This window comes from Homo sapiens, chromosome 1 (genome assembly GCF_000001405.40).
Source record: "Homo sapiens chromosome 1, GRCh38.p14 Primary Assembly".
NCBI classification, from domain to species: domain Eukaryota; kingdom Metazoa; phylum Chordata; class Mammalia; order Primates; family Hominidae; genus Homo; species Homo sapiens.
The window spans coordinates 66678194-66699039 of record NC_000001.11 but is presented as its reverse complement, the minus strand read 5'-3'; the positions used below and the strand labels follow the sequence as shown (position 1 = coordinate 66699039).

Genomic DNA, 20846 nt, shown 5'->3' with positions numbered 1-20846 from the left:
GGAGCGCAGAGAGTCTAGAGATGAGAGTGTGTGAGATGTAAGAGGCTATATGAGTAGATGACAGAGCTTATATTCCTACACGAGGCCACTTAAGTACTTAAGGTAGCAGATTTTTTGTTTGTTTGTTTTTCACCACCACATACGAGATGATTTTGTAGTTAAAAAAGCTAACCAAGGAGAAGTGCAGTACATTTCTGGAAACATCTTGATGTTCAAATACTCTAGGGAATTGCTCAAATAGCTAACAGTCATATCTTCTATTTAATATTTGTCATGAAAATATCTTGCCCTCCCACCTCAGAATACTTGATAGCTTCAATAGGATACAGTCTTTGATGAATTTAAAAAGTCATCACCATTTGGGCCGGGCGCCGTGGCTCACGCCTGTAATCCCAGTACTTTGGGAGGCCGAGGCGGGTGGATCACAAGATCAGGAGATCGAGACCATCCTGGCTAACACGGTGAAACCCCATCCCTACTAAAAATACAAAAAATTAGCCGGGCGTGGTGGCGGGCGCCTGTGGTCCCAGCTACTCGGGAGGCTGTGGTAGGAAAATGGGGTGAACTCGGGAGGCGGAGCTTGCAGTGAGCCGAGATCGAGCCATTGCACTCCAGCCTGGGCGACAGAGCGAGACTCCGTCTCAAAAAAAAAAAAAAAAAGTCATCACCATTTGCAATCTTTACTGTTTTTTTCCCAACTTAAAATAAATAGAATTTTTATCATAAATTAATATTTCAGTGAAGCTGTTTCTAAAAGTAAAACATTCAGAAAAGCACTGGGACTCGAGAATTAGAACCACTAACACTTTTCTATCTCTATTATTAACTTAAATTTGGAAGTGTGAAGCACCCATGTTATCCTCAAATAAAGTCATACGCCACTTAGTTGATTGGTTGATCAGTAGCTCAAACATTGACTGACAATGATATCTAAAGCATTGTAAGAACAAAATGATGAACAAGACAGAATAGTGTTTTGAACACTGTAAAAATACTATTTAGAAGTCAATAAATAAAAATTGAAAAGCTATTTGGAACTGATGACTATTTTGAAGTGGGAATCTTTCTTCTTCTACATTCCCTGAATGAAGAATTAAAGATAATGTTAATTAATATTAATAATAACAAATGTGGGTAAAACCAGAGTGCCCTACAAGAATATGTTAGAAATCCTATTTAATAAAGCATGTTGAAGGAAAATGTTTTTGCAGTATAAAAATTTAGGTGGGGGCACTACTCTCGAGGTAAATTAAAATGTCACCATTTCTATGTCATTTTATCATCACAGCAGAAAAATTAAAAAAATTCTTCTAGGTTTTACTAGCTAAAAATACCCGAGTCTAGCGTACATACATGATGAAAACAAATCTCCATTTAAAAAATATAGCCGTTTTTGCTCAGATAGCAAGACATCATTTTTAGTTTCTTCTAAGGCTTCCCTTGAAGTGCATTTGAATATACTTGTATCTGCATAAACATTTTTTAGCGAGAGAAACAGTGACACCAACATTCATGATATGGCTATTCACACATCCTTTCAAGAAGCCTTCTTTATACTTAAACTTGAACAAAGTCCAAGATTAAGATAATACAGTACTAGAGATTCCAATTAATTTCTATTAAAACGCTTCTTGCATGACTTCTCTTGGCCCAAATTGAGATGTTTAAGGAATTTGGGTCTCACTAATTAGAATGGCAATGTTACCAACTTTAAATACCCAGACATCTACTGACAAATATATTTTCATAAAATGTGATATGTTATTCCACACATTTATTAAATATTTATATTTGATTGATAATATGTATTTTCAAAACAGACAACCAAAGATGTCTTTAGATTGGTTTCTTCAAAAAAGATCTCTCTCTCTCTCTCAAAAGAGGTCCACAATAAAGCATAAACAAATAAGCTGACACATACACTAGCCAAAACAAACAACAAAAAACTGTCAGAGTTGTTTTTTTGTTGTTGAGCCCAGACAATGATTTGAGGGTTGGCAAAGTGCCTTGTTTACTTTCCTGGTTAAAAGAAGGTAAACTGCATCATCTGGTGTGACCAGATGGAACCAAAGTGCCTTTAAGTATGCAGGTATTGCTTTACTTCAGGATTACCAACTTATGCAACTGTAGTTTCTTCTTTGGCAACATGCTGATTAGTAAAAAATACCTGGGCACTTACTAATTTCATCTAATTCAAAGAGAAAGTTTAGGAGGTCACAAGTTGTGGACTTTGCATCTTGGTTATCACAAAATTAATGACCCAAGGCAATGAAGGCTTTGACTTCATGTGCAGAAGATACATCCTCTCCTGAAGACTGCTTATTCACCTGCCTTCTGACCAGGCTAGTTCAGGAAATCAGGATGTTTGAGAAATTTGAAATCAGACCATCTTTCCTAATACTACCCAAGCTATTTCTGGATAAGTTCTAGCTAAGAACTTCTATCTCTATGACTATCTTGCAAGCAAAATTTATTGTTGAGAGAAAAAAGCCACAACTATACAAACTATTTATGTATATCAGCCATTCTGATTTTTAAAGTTGCATTAAAACACACACTCAAGTTATGAAAATTCTATTTTGTTGCCATGAAACACAAAAACAAGTTCAATATTTAGATTCAAATCTAGAGTGGAATGTGTTTTGGCCAACTTTTGATCCTGGGATAAATGTAGCTATTTAAAATCCTAGAAAGCAGGATTTTATGTGATAAATCTTTATGTGTAAGATGGTCCATAAATTAAGTTAAATTACTTAACTTCTTCCCCCATCATTAGTTCAAATGTACCATTTAATCAAATGACTGGCCTGTTAAGATGATTAAAACTTAAATATAAAACAGAAGAATGCTTACCCTTTATGCAGAATATAACAAATGATCAAAGAATGAGGTTAGATATTTGACATTATATTTATGTATATTTTCCTTAATCTTCTAAATGGCAAGTCCAGCAATAGTTCTCCATTTTACTGCAGTCATCTCAATTGCAATTTCAGGAGACGCAGAACAAACTTACTAATAAACTCCTTTTTTTCTTTTCCCGATTTTTCTGATCTCTTATACAGCATTCCTTGTCATAAGAATGTATTTACATATTTAGATTTTACAATAATGCATGTTGCATCTAAAATATTAATTACCCAAAACAAGTTAAATACCAATACCAACCAAAAATGTCCTTATATTTGTTGCACTGCATTTGCAAAAGAGTTAGGAAAGAGCCCTGGTTGACAGAGTTAAGTTCCTTGGCCAAAAAAGGTGTGTTTTGTTTTGTTTTATTTTCAATTGACCATAGTTAATTAAATAACCAATATTAACTGCAAATTAGCTTGAACTTTTTTTAATGTGAAAAAATTGAAGATCATATACAAACCAAATTCATGTAATATTTCCTTTAGTGTTTAATATTTTCTAAGTAGCCATAGCATTTTCATATAGAAAGTGAGACCAGAACTTTTGAAGAGAACTGGGATTTGGAAATGCAAATGGGGAAATAAGGATGAGGAGGAGTATAAATTAGAATCTGGTATGCTATGCACTACTTACCTTCAAAAGTCAAATAAAACTTTCCTCTGTCAAACCAAACGAGGGAAGGCTGTTCATTCTCTGTATGGCCAGGAGTTGAAGCGGGATGGGAAGGGTTAAGGAAAGGGAGAGAGAAGGACACAATGTGAGTTACAGAGCAGGTCATTAATCTCACTATAGGGAAGGGTGGAGGCACTACATGCCATTAGCGTGCAGGAAAAAGGGAAGGCTGGCAATCTACACTTTTTTTTTTTTTTTTAGTTCAGGAAACAGAAAGCAAAAGCAAAGCTATGGAGGCCTAAAGGAATGGGAATGTGTTGGTGGTCGCTTGATACTTGGTGCTTGTGTGCATGGAGCAGAAGTCTTCCTGGCCATGCAGGGGCGTCAGCATATTTTAACTGCACTAATTTGGGCAAACTGTCATTCAGCAATTGCTGTATCCATTTCATCTTCAATGTCATCCCCTTCTATGTTTCCAAAAAGATAAACTCAGAGTTATGGATTGTAGAAAACATTAGCTTAGGTTTTAAATGACAAAGCATTGCATATCAATATAAATTTCAGGGAAGATGTCACATATCTTCCATCCCCTCCCTTGGAATCACCTTAGGCATCCAGACACAAAACACCCTTTACCTATGTATCAAAGAGAAAACAAGATTACTAATGATGCTCTATTATTTTTTAAATTAAAAAGCAGTGACCGGACATGTAATTCTGAGCAGTTAAATTATTCTTTCCTTTGTAAATTCACAAAGCAATAGCATCTCACCTTTTTTGAACCTCTTCACTGAGAAACTGTCATGCAACCTGCTGTTTTTGAATATAGTCACTTAAAAATTTTCAGTGGCACGAGTTCCATGATGAACAGTAAATATACAGGGTGCATCTGAGAGGCACTGGACACTCATGAGGTGAGGGCATGTCCATGAAGTTTATAGCATTCAGATGGATAATGGCTTGGATTTTTGGAATCTAGGTCTCTAGAGATCACTTGGCTAGCACCATACCTGCAGGCGTTTCACAGCGCCTTTCAAACGAGGGCAGTTTGTCATAAAAAACATCGTCTTCTGACACTACGAACCAAAGAAACATAAACGAATGGAAAACAAAAACACAAATACAAATCCCAAATGAAATCAAGAAGCCCACTTTACTGATTGAAACACAGGAATGATTTTAGTGGAAAAAGGAAACAAAACTGAAAACACTGGAATTATGATTACGATATAAAGAAGTGTTTTCTTATTTTGTGATGATTCTATGAGAGGAAATTAAAATGTTAAAAAAAAAAAAAAGCCAGGGTTTAGCATCTGTGAATTTGTCTGAAGTCAGCTCCAGGGAAGAAGTCATGCCCCACCTTCTCTGGGAGTTGCTAAAGGAACTGTCATTAATAATTGACTTATGCAAGTGTATTTCACTCCAACACAATTCTCAAGTGGTCAGACATATGTCCATCAACAAGAATCTCCTGACAGAGCAGTGACAGCTCAACAGGATCACTCAGCATGCACCTTCCTCCCATGGGGAAAGTAGATGCTTTTAACATGGCCATAAAAAAGCAACAGTATAAATCCAAGGTCCCTGTATGAACTATCCCATTTCAGCCTCATCAATATCCAAATTCAATTTGCCTTGCACCTGCCTTTGATAGTTATGGACCGTTAATTTTGAACAGCATTATCATAATTTCATCTTTGTCTATGGTATCCAGCTGTGTCTGAATGTCTTTGTAAATTGGTCACAACATCATGAATTGGTGCTCTGGACTTTAACCAATTCAGCTCTTTATAAGGTCTGTCTTCTCAGCAACTAACAAATGCAAGTAATTGGGATTTTTGACTCTATGTGGGATTTTAAAAAAGTACTCAATGCCACAGGTCTTATGCATACTATTACAACTTTAACAGAAAATTGAATAAAATCTGTACAAAGACCAGTAAGAAAGAAAAATGCAGAGAAGGAAATGGATGAGGGTAGAAAAAATATTCCACAAATAATAATGTTCCTCAGAAAATATTCTATTAGCTTGACTCCATATTTACAATTTAATGATAATATTCCTCATTATCTCTATTGTTATCTCTGTATCTTGAAATGTCAAGGTGCTTGTTTCTTAGAATAACTTTAAGCAATTTCTCTATCCTCATAATATTGATAGGATTTTCCCCCAAATCATATAGTAGAGGTCCTGTGAGCTTTTACTAGTGCAAAAGAAATTACTGTTTTTTATTTATTTATTTATTTATTTATTTATTATTTTTAAAAACTGAGATGAGAATCTTGCTATGTTGCCCAGGCTTGTCCTGAATTCCTGGGGTCATGTAATCCTCCCATCTCAGCTGGCATTACCACCAGATTACCACCGCACACCACCATACCTGGCTCATTGATTCTAAACTGTGCACTTTTTCATATTATAACCTGTCTGAAATAATTAATGTAATAAAAAAACATTTTATCTTAGCTCAACCAGTAGTTTTTCTCCCCTTTCTTAGTCGTATAAAAAATAATGGTACATTTTTCAATCGAGGGTGTCTTCAATTCAATAAAAGGCAGTTGTATAGGAGCTCTTCTTCATTCGAGTGTGACAATACACAAAAAGTCCTGTTTTCACCTGTGGCATCAGATTTGCTATTGTGTAATCACAGCTGTCATGAGAGATTTCATATCCAAAGTCATTTAGGGGCATCTTCTTATATGAATTGCTGTGTAGAAGGTTTAGACTTGCTCTTAAAACTTTAGTTCTTGAATTACTTTAGATTTGCCCCAATTTTGGTTCAAGTACCATAGGAAATGTCAAAAAGAAGTATTGCAGTGGGAGGGAAATGTTGAGCTACCAACCTCAGAGAATTTGCTGCTGAAATTCTCTACCTCCCTCACACCATTTGACTACATTAAGTTGACATTCCAAGTCAGTTATGATTAGGCCCTTTGGTGTTGAACAGCCCATCCTCTCTGGAGAGGAAGAGCAGTGCACAGGAAGTCTGGGGACAGTCAGTCTTGACAATATATTTACTTCGGAGAAAAGTGGCTGTCAGCTGACCCACAGCAGGTGAAAAGACGAGGCAGGAGGGTGAGGAATTCAGCAGGAAGATGGACACCAAATAAACATAACAAAATCAAACAGATTAAATCAGTATGCTCCTTAGTAATGAAGCAATGTGACTATCCTCTTATGTGGCTATTTTTTTTTTAATCCCACTCTGGTTCATCTTGAAGGAACCCATTCCAGATGTGTTAAGAATCAAAGTTTCTGGCCAGGATTTGAGATTTCTGCAGCAGGGAGTATAAAAACACATTGTACAAACATACACAAAGTTCAAATTCTCTCTCTCTCTTTTTTTTTTTTTTGAGATGGAGTCTCACTCTGTCGCCTAGGCTGGAGTATGCAGTGGTACGATCTTGGCTCACTGCAACCTCTGCCTCCCGAGTTCAAGGGATTCTCCTGCCTCAGCCTCCCAAGTGGCTGGGACTACAGGCGCCCACCACCACACCCGGCTAATTTTTGTATTTTTAGTAGAGATGGGGTTTCACTATGTTGGCCAGGCTGGTCTTGAACTCCTGACCTTGTGATCTGCCCGCCTCGGCCTCCCAAAGTGCTGGGATTACAGGCATGAGCCACTGCACTTGGCCAGTTCAAATTCTTTGTGTGTGCTATTTTCTCTATGAATCACAGTGCATTGAAAGAACATGTTACAGGTTTATCTGAGGTCACTTGGGGTCAGCTTTCTGAGTGACAGTTTACTCTTACTTTCCTCTCTGACAGACAAGTCAAATCACATGAAGGAGGTGAAACAACTAATCTAGAAAAAGAGTGGCAGTGTGGGGGATGGCTTATAGCAATCAAGGAGTATTAAGGAGATAGAATTAAAAAAATTACAGAAACAAACAAACAAAACAGAGGGAAATGAGTTACTAGGCATTCAAAGATAGGAAGCCCCAAATTGCCCCAGTTGATGTTGCAGACAGGAGCAAACTTGGCTACATAAATAATGTTAAATATCTGTCTGTTGGTAACTCACAAGAAACTAGGTAACTGGCTCTATTTTCACCAAACTTGAAAGGTTCTTTTGGGAGGATTTGATTAAAGATATAAAGGCACGTGATATAGTTGAAATTCCCTTTGGGGGCCTTAAAAGGCACACCTTAACTTATTTATCTGGGAAAATAGGCAGTTCTTTCTCCAGAAGAGCTTCAGGCTTTGATCAAGCTACTTCTCACATAGGCAACTGGGCAGACTGCTCTTCCGAGAGTAGCAGAAGGAAGTTATTTAGCTTTAGTTAACGATTCTCCCAAGCAATGTGGGATGGGCCAGGTGGTTTACACTATGGAAGAGCCAGAGGGGAGTTCTGACAATAAAGGAAGACAATGGGGAACGGGGATCCCATGGGAAAAATGGAATGGGAAAGCCCTAGGTGGGAGACACCATGCAAAAATGAGAGAGGCAATAGGAACCTGTCTCCTGCTGGGAGGTGGAAAAAGAGAGAGACCAGCTTTGGAAAGGGGGATGATGCTCCAGGCAAAATGAAGCATTGAAACCTTGGAAAACCATCCAGCTGAACAGCCATTCTCAACTCTTTACTTTCGTCACAGCATAAGGAAAGAGGCATAAAGGCATTTCCTGAAAATGCCACCAACGGCTTATTTCTCTGGGAAAACTGACCACACATCACTGAAAAGCACTAGAAAAAAAAATGTCGAAAAGTTTGCTCAAGTCTCACAGTGCCGATGTTTATATCATCTGTCAACATAAGGACAACCAAAAATGATGAAGAAATGAAAGCTTCAAGAAAATACAAGTTCTAAATTTTGTGATTTCTGATGTGGTTCATGGTTGGAATTTAAACAAACATTTCCCCTCAAAGGAGACTATTTTTATTTTAAGAAATAATATCTAAATTACAAGACCTTCCTTGGCGATTTCTTACTTATTTTTTGAATAGCTCTGTATGGAACAGCATAAGAAAATTCCTGCAAAACACAGGTGTTAATGTTCTTTTATTTGTTCATTTGCTTAGGTAAAGCACTTTGCCTCCTTTGCTGAGAAGGTGGTTTTAAAAGAAGAGTCAGGTAATAGTAGCAAAACACACAGCAAAACAATTTCAACCAGAAACACAGGGCCTTGGGGATTTCAGATCATAAAAAATAGCCAGTCAAAACCACAAACGGATTAAAAGAGAGGAGAGAATTTTTACCAACTGTGGGAGTGGTGGCTGCGCTCAAGGAATTGGTTGACGATATTGAAGAAGTGCTTTCAGCCCGCGCTAAGGGTGCTATTGGAGGAGGGCTGGAAGAATGAATGGGAGGGCTAAAAGGTCTGGACTGTAAGGAGAAGAAAAGAGATGAAAAGTTAGATACACAGGTTGCAGTATTTTTGCTCCATATTTTTAATGTCTCCCAGCCCCAGATATGACAACTTAGGTATCTGAAGAATAGATGACACCATTTTTACACTGAAATTAATTCTATCTATATGAGAGTTTGTGGAATGGAGCTGGAGAAACGATAAACCATAACATGCTAAAGCTGAGCTTAGCGAAGCTGGGATCTGTGACACGGTCAGTGGGTCTGTTTCAGGACTGAACTCACATGCCCTCAGGGACTCAGCAGGTAACACAGAGTGAGAACTCATACTCGTCTAAAGCTAACGACTTTAGACGTTAGCCCAGCCAAATGCTATGGACATCATTTGTTTCTGACTCCTGTGTGCAAATGCCAAAGAAATCTACTTCTGCCACAAGTCTCTCTTAATTGTTCACACAGAATGTTTTCCACTCCTCAGCCTTAAAACACAAGGCAAGAAACTTCTGCAACAAATTCCTCAAGCCACCACTCCTTCACTGTATATTCACATCATGTGCCTACAATCAATATGTCATCTGTATTCTGGGATCAGAAACCAGGATTTGCCCTCTCTTGGAGTTTTCTAATATCAGACAAATACTGTGAAACACCTCTCTTTCTATGAATGTTACTATCGTCATTTGTATCTAACCCACTGTAGCAGAGGTAAGGGTCCAAGCGTACCATTCCTGTCATTTTAGACCTTGGCTTGAAAGATGGTAGAAATTTGAGGAGGGTTGAAATGTACACTCATACCGCAGTGACTGTCTTTCAGATGCCACCTGTCAGGGTTGTTTGTACGAGTTCTCTAAACGCTTAGACCTGAAGGCATTTGGAGCTTCTGTTTGTCATTCTCACTGTTTCTGAGCAAGCCAGGGCAGAAGGGAACATACCACATCTCCAACTCCAGGTTTTCCTGGAGGTAGCTTTGGCCGGGATGGAGGCCGGGGAGGAGGTGGAGGTGGAGTGGTACTTCTGCAAGGAACCAAAGGAGTGGCTGGTCGAGCAGGGGATGATGCACCTGAAAAACAAACTAGCATTAAAATGGCTGGAAACACAGGGGGCCAAAGCGCTGTTATCACAGTATAATGCCAGTCCCGGACATTTTTTTTTTTTTTTTTGCCTTGGCAGTTACTACACTAAACACTGTAGCACTTTCTTTTTTCTCTTTTTTTTCTTAATAAAGAAAAAAAATTAATGATTTCAGCTATGGTTGATGGTAGAAGCTCATTGCCTTTTGTTGTCATGTGACACCCAGTGAAAGGTAAATCCTTTTATTGCTCTATGACAGAGGTAAGGTCTTAAGACTCTCTGCTGCATGGTAGGTACCTTTCATTATCATCACATACACATTAAACACATAATAAATTCTCTTGCATTTTGCATGTATGTAGAATTTATGTCCAAGATGAAAATGGAGGTTAGAACTTGAAGGAAGATGAATGATTTTTCCATTTTAGGTTTTTCTTCTTTAAATGTGGTTAAGAGAATTATGCTTTTGACTGTGGTCAAGCTATGAGCACCAACTTTATCAATGTACCCAAACACTGGATGGTAAGCAAAAGACAAAATATGAGAAAATAGATTAGATGTTGCATGAATACTTTGTATTTAGAATCTTGATAACAGACATGCACTGAATTTAGAGGATTTTATTTTGTGAAGGAGGCTGCTTGGGAATCTGTCAATGCAGAGTTTGCCCATGACGATTTTTGAAAGAGCTTCTTGGATTTACTTTTCTGGCTGTCAATGACAAACGTATGAAACACAGAAGACACACAGAGGCTGGCATGCACATCAGTCAGCACACCAGTGGGGTCTCTGGATTCAGGCATCTGCCTAACTTCAGTCATATGTCTGAGATACACAAGGAAACTTGACCAAAAACCTTTAAAAAGTCAAATCAACGTTCAAACCGTTCTTGTTCAGAAAAGTTCTGACTACTCCTGAGGTTTTTGTCACTTCCGTTAGAAGCACAGGTCTCAAATCATCCCAAGAAAATTCTAAGAAATCCTGCCCTGGGAAAATATCCACACTTCATCCCCCACACCTGCCACCCCCTTACCACCTCCCAAACAACACATCACAAAACTGGGATCTCTGGAGAGTTTTTATATCAGCATCTCAGTCTCCAAATTCTCAGACTCTCAAAAGCTTTGAAGTTGAGCAGCAAAACCTATCATTTCAGAAATCTGCTGTGTTTTAGGAGAGTCCCTGGGGGATTAAACCTTGCTCCTCTTGTTTAAATAATCTGAAATCCTGAGTGTGTTTCTCTGTGCTGTTTATTCTATGTGTAATCACATTCGTGTGAAACCTACTAATTATTACCCCTGCTCCCTCTCTGTCTCCACCTTCCTCTACCACTACCATCTGTATTCTTACTTTTTATTCTCCACTGGGCCAAGGTCTACGCTAAGCACTTTACATGTATGATCTTATTCCCCTGATAAGCTTTGGAGGTAGGTATTGTTAGGTATCTATGTGGAATCTGAAGCTGAGAGATATTCAGTAACTTGTCTCAGGTCATATAGCTCAAACTGTGTATGTACCTCCAAAGCTCACGCTCTTAAATGCAATCTCTTATAGCTTGAGATGGACTGTGGACTGTGGTGTATAGTCCCACATTTTGCATAAAGTCTGTTCTTATTTTTGCTTGGCTTGCACATCTCTCTCTCAATATAGATATTTTTAGTCTTTGGCTAGTCTTCTCTTAAAAAAAAAAGGTATGTTTTGACAGGCCCCACTACAAAGTTTTCTTTTGATTATTGTGTCAGATTTTCACCCAGGATGTTTTCAGAAGACGGAAGTAACAGCATAGGGATCAATAAATCTTTAAACAGTGAAGTCTCAGGACATTTTTTTTTTTTTTTGGTGTTGATGGAGGAGGAGGTGTTCTATTTAGCTTCGTGAAAACCATGCATAGGAAAGGTCCAAAATGTCTATCTGTAGGTCTGTTTCCAAGAAGTAGTCTTTTGAATTGATCTAAAAATAAAAAAAGCCAACTGTTTATCCTTTTCCTACATGCTCCAGAAAAAAGAAATTTAAACTCCTTTTAGTGATGCCTGGGAAAGTACTAAGGAGACTTCACCAAGGCAGTGTGGAATATTGAAAAACACTGGATGAAGAACCAGATGATTTGAGTTCTGGCCCTACTGGCCTGAAACCTCAGCTTCCTTGTTTTAAACAGTGAGGCCTTGTTTCTACCTTACAAGGTATTTGTAACTAATTGAAAATGCTTGTGAAAATGTTGACTATATAAAATGCTACACAAATAGAAAGTAGTAGATACCCGTGATGATGATTAAGATTGTGTTTTTTGATACAAATACAACTAACAAGTCAAAAAAAAGTTCGTTGTTCATTGAAAAGTTAATTGTTTTCCTTTACGGATGCCCCATTGAAATCACTTTTTCTGTACTGATTTGAAGTAATTGATTTCTTGTGCAGCTAGAACGACATTAAGAGAATGTCTAAGAAGCAAAAGGATATTTCAGTTAAAACCCTGCTTGACCAAACCCTGAGGCTTAGCAGGGGATGTTCAGGGCCTGAGGGGTATTTCACAACTGAACAAAGGCTTCACATACTTTCGTGAAATTATTCAATTGTTACACATTTTAAGAGTGTAGATGGCTATCATTTGCACATCTCTATCCTCACTCTTCAATTTTCAATTGCATTTTCATTTCCCCCTTAGAAAAGTGTTTATTTCCAGAACAATGCTGGAAAATGATTTGGACAGCAACACTGTTTAAGATTTAACTTTAAAACCCAAAATACACTGAGTTTTGTGAGTTAAAAAAGGTTGGCAACGATTGACATGCTCTCAATCCATTTGTTGTTCTCAACCTGGTCTAATCAATGTGCTTGGCAACCCCCGAAGACCATGTGTCTACCGCTTCAACTTTCATCTCTTTTTTTATGTGTGTGTTGGGCTGGAGCAGTGGAAGCAGCTGGGAGAAGTGGTCAAGGCACAGGCCGTGGAATCCAACAGATCTGGGACCATAACCTGGCTCTGCTACTTACTAGCTTTGTGACCACAGCTAAGTTACCTTTTTAAACTACAGTTTCCTAATCCACAAAATGAGGCTAATAGTTCATGCTGTTGCTGGGAGAATCAAGTGAATTAAAACATATGCACTTTGAGATATGTGAAAAACTAAACAACCTTTCCCAAATTGTGTTTCTTAGACCATAATGATACCATTTCTTTGAACAAACCACTAAATATGTATGTAAATGATTGTATGCTATGTTTCTCTTTTTGATGACTAACACATTAAAAGCCCTGAAACATTACTAATAGAGCTGTCTGCAATGGTGAAAATATTCTAGAACTGTCTAATAAGATAGTTGCTAGCCACATATAGCCACTGAGCACTTGAATTGTGGCTGCTGTATCTAAAGAATGAACTTTTTATATTAATGTTAAGCAACTAAAATTATAATTAAAATAACCACATGCGGCTAGGTACTACTGTATTGGACATTGCTGCTCTAAAAGACTTGTAGTTAGGAAATATATTCAGTTAATTCAACCCTAGGTAGCTCAGACTAATTTGTTTATTGACTGTGTGTTTGCATATAACATCTTTAGTTTCCCAAGTTGGAAAATGTTGCACTGAACATTCTTTCTTTACTTACTCCTTTCTTTCCCTGGCCCTCAAACATGGTGCAAGCCAACAAAACTCTTTGCCTCCAGCCTCTGGCACACAACCCACATGGGAGAAGAGAGACTTTGCCAAGAACCAGCATTCCAGTAAAGTACTGTTCTGGCCAAAACAGGTATTTATAACTTTTGACATAAGGAAATTGAAGTTATTGGAGCAAATTCTTAACTTCCAACTGCTTTTCAATAGCAGGTACCTCTTCTGATTCACAAGGTTATCAGTACTGTCTATACTTGGTCAGTGACAATCACCTTGCTGTGAATAAAATTTTAAAAATGAGTGCATAGTGGTATACAATTAAATATGCTTCGAGAAATACAAGAAAGTTAGTTTAATCAGGCCTAATGTTATGAAAAGCAGGTAGTGAGAAGCACTGCTAATCTTTAAAACATGAGGCCATACCCTATTGTTTCAATCTTAAATTTATATTTCTTCCAGCTTGTATATGTTCCACCAATAAAAGATTAAGCAGCAAATAAACTGGGACTTACTTAAAGAGATAATACTGCAGAGTTTTATTTATTCACAAACTTCAGTGGCCCAGTTCAATTTTCTACGTAGAAATCCAATCTTTAAATACCAGTAAAGTCAAGCTTTTTCCAGCTTAATTATGAAGAATCAAGAGTCTTTACTGGTGACATTTTAAAATAATTTCAAATAAAGGTATGGAAGCTAAACATTAAAATCACAACAAAACTCTCAAAAATTCCAGAAAGAAAACAAAGTTTCCTTTCTTCCTAATTAGATCAGTGGTAAATTCAATTGAACAAATATCTTCGAGAGCTTTATGAAAGGTGTTAGATGAAACACAGATGAATTACCAAAGCCACCTGTCCTCTCTACTCCTGATAAAGATGTTTCCTTTGAGGACAGCATTGTGGCCTACCCTTGGAGGGAAGTGGGTGTTCTTTAAATGTCCTTTTAGGAGACTGAGAGTCTGGCTTAAGAGAGCTGCATAGAAAATAAAAGTACACACCCCTCTTTTATAACGGACGAGTAATGTCTTTGGGTTTGTGGTTTGGAGGATTTACATAGTGGTTCTTTATTATCTTTACAGGTAGATAAGGAGCTTTGTATCCCCTCAAAGACCTGAAAGAACAATAGAGGGATGGAGATGGATGCTGTAACCCTCTAGAATTAGAGGAGCACAGACGAGTACATTTTGAGAGAAGACTTTTGGTGATCTTGTCGATGACACTGTGCAGTGTAGATGGGTGTCAGTAGTCAAATAAGTTTGGAATATTTATGACCAAACCTTACAAAAGTGCCTGGAGAGCACACTGGTTAACAACATAGGCTCCAGCTCAGACAGACCTGAGTATGAATCCAGTTCATTGCCTCCAGCTTGTAAACTTGGGCAAATTACTTGATATCTCTGAGCCTCAGTTTTCCCATCTGTAAAAAGGGAAAGATAACAGTATCTACCACAGGGTGGTGTTGTATGAAATAATGTACAAAAAGCATTTAGGGCCAAAAAGCATTTAGGGCTGGGCGCGGTAGCTCAAGCCTATAATCCCAGCACTTTGGGAGGCTGAGGCAGGTGGGTCACTTGAGGCCAGGAGTTCGAGACCAGCCTAGCCAATATGGTGAAACTCTGTCTCTACTGAAAACCCTGTCTCTACTGAAAAAAAGTAGCTGGGTCTGGTGGCACACACCTATAATCCCAGCTACTCAGGAGGCTAAGGCAGGAGAATTGCTTGAACCCGGAGGCGGAGGTTACAGTGAGCTGAGATGTACTGCACTCCAGCCTGGGCATCAGAGCAAGACCTTGTCAAAAAAAAAAAAAAAAAAAAAAAAAAAAGAAAAGAAACAAACAAACAGTGTGGTGCCCAGGATAAGAAACTGTGGTTTCTACTATTTGCAAAATAAAGGCTCCCAAAGGTCTTATGGTAAAAATACTTGCTGATTTTGAATAGTTTTCCTTTTGAGGGGAAGAGGACCTGGAAGCATACACATCTAAAGATATAAAGCACTGGTTTTGTGTGCAGTACGGGTGAACTCCTAGCACTCTTCTTGATCACCACGGATGCTCTCACTTTAAGCACAGAAGCATTTGCAAGCACAGAGCAAGTTCTGCAAGACCTCATTGAAAGAGGCAGTGATGATGACTGAATATTAGAATTTCTGTCTCTTACTAGATTTAAGTACCTTACACTTTATTGCCTCTTTCACAGCAAAAGGAAAAACAAATACATGGCACCCCCTGAAGGCCCCTAAACTGAACCCACATGCACAGGAAGGAAAGCGCTGGGGGATGTTGTCAGACAAATTTGGGCAACAGTGGAATAAATGATATGGGGGAAGATGCATTTGAAAATATTGATATTGCTTTGGTATGCATGGTAGGTGTTACTATACTTTCATAATTAAAACACACAAAATGAAGCTTCAAATAAGCAAAAGAAAATTCAGTATCAGAATTGGCATAGAGTCCATCACCTGTCACCACACTTAGAGTTGACCTATAGCCTGATGAGTGTGTCAACTGGTGAGAACAGAGATCAAGTTTGTCTTCAGTGACAGCTTGATTGGATTACAGATGCAATATATGTATCCCATTTTTTTTCTTTTGCTTCTTCCTAAAATCTCCTTTTCAAACCTTATGTCTTTTTAAAGAAATTAGAGGGGTTAACGTGGTTCTTCCACAACCAAAAAAGAAAAGAAAAAAATAGAAAAAAAAAAGAAGCCCACCCACCCCCTCCTGCTTGCCTACATACACACATAACACATTGGCCCACAAAACCTAGTGTCCTTGTGGGGGCATCCGACAAGGAAATCAGACATTTAACATGAAACCCACTCTCTGTGAAATCTGTCTTCCTAGAACTTTCCTGAATTCCAAACAATGGCATGACAGCTTTGTTTTAGAAATCAAGACCTCTTAACTGCAGCGTGGATGGCAGGGCACACCTAAGGGCTGGGAGTGCAAGGCAGAACACATCCACAGACTTGGACCATGACTGTGAGCATCTGATGGACTAGGACATGCTGTGGGGCCACAGGACACCCAGACTAGAGGAGTGAGGGCTGAAGCTCTGAAGCCAGCTGCCAGGCAGGAGGACGGTGTTGCTCACACTGCAGCAGCCATGGCCATTCCCCGTCACAAGAAGCACACTCAAGCATAAGACATACCACTGGTGGTCCCCGGACCAGGGCCCGAGCCAGGTCCGGGGGACGAAACCACAGTCCTGTAGGTGGGTGGTGGTGGGGGAGGTGGAGTTGCTCTTTGTCCCAACCCAAAATCTTTAGGAGATGAGATTGTTTCTAAGTAATCATCTTTAATGAAGGTCTGCTCAGCGACTTTCTTCTGGACTTCTTCTAAATTGAGCGGCGATAGTACATTGCGAGGAGGCCCAGGAGGCCCTGGGGGGCCTGTGGGACCTGGGGGGCCGAGAGGGCCTGGAGCTGGGGAGTCAGCTGGGTTGTCTGGTGTAGCTGGTGGGGACACCACTTTTTCCCTTGGAGTCAACTCCGGAGTAACATGTTCCGGGGATGTATCAGAAAAATGGACCCACTTTTCTTCAGCATTAACAGCAACAGACTTGGGGGACAATACTGGCCCAAAAATGCTGTCCAAGTCATTGATGGATGGTAGTTTTTCAATTTTGACCTCTGTGGCTGACTGGTCATTTCCTGTGGTTAAAGTAGTTGATTTTAAACTTTAATTGACTTATTATTTGTGTGGGGAGTGAGGGAGGGAGGCAAAGACTGGAAAATACATTGGTGTCTGAGGTGCCTCAGTGGGCATACTTCATGATGTAAAAATATCTTTATTGGATTAGGAGCCTAAGGTGAGGGGAGAGATCCCCCCTCCACAAAGTGAGCATCATATTTTTATGCTATTGTTTACTCTTTTTTGCAAGCTGAGCACAGCTAGCTACTTTGACCATCATGTAAAGTGCTGTGCATGATACTGCTCTCGAAGGCTGCTCACAGGTGCACCAAGTGTGATCATTTTGAGAAGGCAGTATTAGATTCACAGAAAAGTACAGGCTCTGGGACTGCAAATTCCAAAAGCAAGGTCCCTTCTGAAAATCTGGCCTAATAAAATACACATCACACAATATAAGAATTGAGAAGTCAAAGTTGGCCTCACATTTTATAAAGATTGTCTACTCTTGTATATTAAATCAAGACTTTGGTGAAACTGATTATAATATTTGTTAATTTTAAGAAGTGATCACATCGTATTTAGCTGTATATCCTCAACCTTAAAAAACACCAGAAACACAGTACAAAGATTAAGAAGGTATCACCACAAAGATACTTACAAATACAGATATATACACCCCACACACAACACACACATAGATTATTGAGGAGGCATTTGCTACTTATTAGAACTGTTACATATATACCTGCTTAATGGAGAAGAAAATAATTTAAAAATTTTTAAATAATTTCTTTTCTCATTAAGTCTAACCTGTCAACCTCATAAGCATAACTGTGATATTTATCTATATGTTGTCATGATACCAACATGTCTGTTTTGCTAAAATATTAGCATAAGCTATTCTTTTTAACTCATAGCAATAATAAGAGAAAAAATTAAGAATGATCTTCTACAGCTCTGTATGAAGAACTGCACTTTTTAAAAACTGAGATTATTCACATTACAAATTGCTACCTAAATAACTGGAAGGCATGAACAGAAGTCACTTTACCTTTATATAACTCTTGGGCTATATGAGCCATCTTAGTATTTCTATATTTCTAGCTTGAAAGGAATTAACTTTCAAGGTTCCAAGGCTACAGATAAATGGGGAAGCATTTTGCATAGTCCGCAATATTTATAATCTTGTGCTAGTAGGTATATTTATATCTAACACAATTTGTGGAAATAAAAGGGGCCAAAATGTCTTGAACCTGCAAACATCTTTACTTATGAAGCTCTGGATGACTCTCTATTGGGTTTGAGTCAATATAAATTTCATAAATAACTACATCGTGCTTTTGCTTTTGTTGATGAATGCCCCACTCTGCAGCTATCAAACTCACCAGGCTGCATAAATAGCAAAGGATGAAGCTGCAACAGAATTCCGAAGGTGATAAAGAACCACATTCTAAGGGCCCAGGCACATAACAGCTATTACTACTTTTGATTTGCTAGTCCAGTAAGACTTGGCAGACTATAAATTGTATGAATACATAGTATTGATTTTAATAGATGGTAAAGGTGTGCCTTAAGCATTATCTGTCTACAGGTGTGTAGCAATTCCTTGCCATATTTCATAATCTTTACATATCTCCTTGCCATGAGATAATAAATACTTGAATGAAAAAGAATTTCCCCACCACCAGTATGCTGCACACCCTGGGAACCATTTTATGTCTTCATAGACTAGATAGTTTTAGACTTAGCAAAATTCTCTTGAAAAAATACCAACTGTGCTTTGAGACTATGAATTTGTAAATCATTAAAACGAGATCCAACGAAGTGAGGGGTTAATTAAACAATGAATTTTCATATTGAGATTTTTTTCATTTCGTGTTACAAAATGTCCCTCATTCAACAAAATTATACCAAGGAAAAATTAACTGAGAAATTATTACTTTTTTGTGTGTGTGAAACCTGGAAGTGGTGCTTTAAAATAAGTCTGCATAAGAAATTCTAATGAAAGCAAAACTGAATGCCAACATTGTGATGTTTTTGTGTAGCCTACAGTTTTCAACACATCAAGGGCATGTTCATCCGGGGCCACTGCTCTGTTTGACACATCATCCCAGAACTGAAAAAACAAAAGCGTACCTGGTCCAATTGTTAAGGGGGATCCTGTTCGGGGTGGGGTAGCTGGTACATTTTTTGGAGGCAGTGGTGGAGGTGCTGCAAAAAGATGAGAAATTAAGTATCATTGGTCATGTGCTTCCTAAGTCATACAATACACTTTAAATAAGCAGGATTTGGGCTTTCAGTTATATTCCTGCTATTGGAAATGGAATAGCAATTAATGGTCTACTTCTTTGAAGTTCAAAGCCAAAGAACTGAGGCAGAACCCATTCAGATTGTTCCATTTTATGAGAATAAGAGAACGTCAAGAGAATGTTGGACAGTAATAATAATATCACCATTTTATTCATGTAAATATGATTCAACACACAAACCTCAAGCAGCAACTACGTCCTACCTCCTGTACTAGGAACTAGGGTCATAGGGTTGAATAAAAATAGTCTTTGGCCTCAAGGGATTTATGACTGACTGAATGAAATCATGTCCGCTGACAGTTACAGTCGAGGGTTTGATAACGGAAATCACAGGTTGGGTGGGGGCTCCTGTGAGGGGTTTTTAATCCAGTCAGGATCTTAGTGTCCAGATTGAGTTGGGAAAGATTTCTCAAAATTATATTTCTTAAATTTTAGTACATTTTTTAAAGTTAGAAGCAAACTAACTGCTTGGGTCAAGGAGGAATGAACAGATTCCTTTGACAAAAATTACAGCCAAATCAAGTATCATGGTCCCTACGAAGAGATTCACCCTTCTGAGCTGGACTTGTCACTTTGTGGGCAAAGTTTGGAATTACTGTTTCAACTGGTTCATTTCTTCTTCCTCTTTCTTTAAGTGTATGTTTTCTTGTCACTGGTCCTATCTGGTAGATTCAAAGAGTTCACACTAATTTCACAGGCCATCCCAAAGTTTAGCTGTGAATCTGAATGCCGTCCAATCTCTCATAACCTAAACGCAGAGGGAGGCAGGTAGGCACATGGCTGGAGAGCGCTTGCTGGTACCTTCCACTTGCCTAAATTAGGAAGAAGCTTTTTCTGTCATTCCTCCCTCCTCCTCCCCTTCCCGTACTTTATTTATTATTTTTAGGTAGCATCCTGTTCTTCCACACAATAAGTATGACTAACAACCCTCATCCTAAAGCCTAGGAATATGTGGTTCTTAATCTTAATTATGAGCTTCTGAAAGCTACACCTCTAGTGGACCATATTTTCCCACAGAAGTTAAGAGTCAATCAGGGGCTCTGCTCCTGATTAAGGATCTCTGCCAAAAATCAAGGTCATAATCAACAAAATACCATAAAAACAAATAAAATACTGTAAAAGCCTAATAAGCTAAAATAGAAAACTTATGCTGCAACTACAACATGAGCAGAATGATATAATGCACATCAATTAAACAACAGCCTGTGCTGTGCTAAGTGTAACCACAGCACGTAAGACTCACAGCTCTGAAATACCAATAGTTAAAACCAATACATCACCTCCATAAACAATTCATTTACTTTCTTGGCATTTAGGAAAGGGTTTTCTAGGGATCACTTGCATAGCTCAGGTCTGTAAAGAAAGCTTTTCAAGGAAGTTACAGCT

The 20846-nt window shown here is 38.5% G+C and overlaps 1 protein-coding gene across 55 annotated transcripts in view; it reads right to left on the bottom strand.

The window, feature by feature from the left end:
* The window catches only part of SGIP1 (SH3GL interacting endocytic adaptor 1), a 217779-nt gene that overhangs the window by 52100 nt on the left and 144833 nt on the right, over positions 1-20846 (bottom strand). For 12 of the 55 annotated variants that reach the window (NM_001376549.1, XM_047432054.1, XM_005271270.5 and 9 more), the window contains 4 exons: positions 19288-19362; positions 9765-9892; positions 8724-8850; positions 3547-3606 (listed from right to left, as the gene is read on the bottom strand). In NM_001376549.1, the coding sequence (NP_001363478.1) occupies positions 3547-3606; positions 8724-8850; positions 9765-9892; positions 19288-19362 (390 nt within the window). Of the gene's footprint in view, positions 1-3546; positions 3607-4535; positions 4602-8509; positions 8851-9764; positions 9893-16670; positions 17172-19287; positions 19363-20846 lie in introns of those variants that run through there. The other 43 variants (XM_017002506.2, XM_017002510.2, XM_017002508.2 and 40 more) reach the window with 10 other exon arrangements.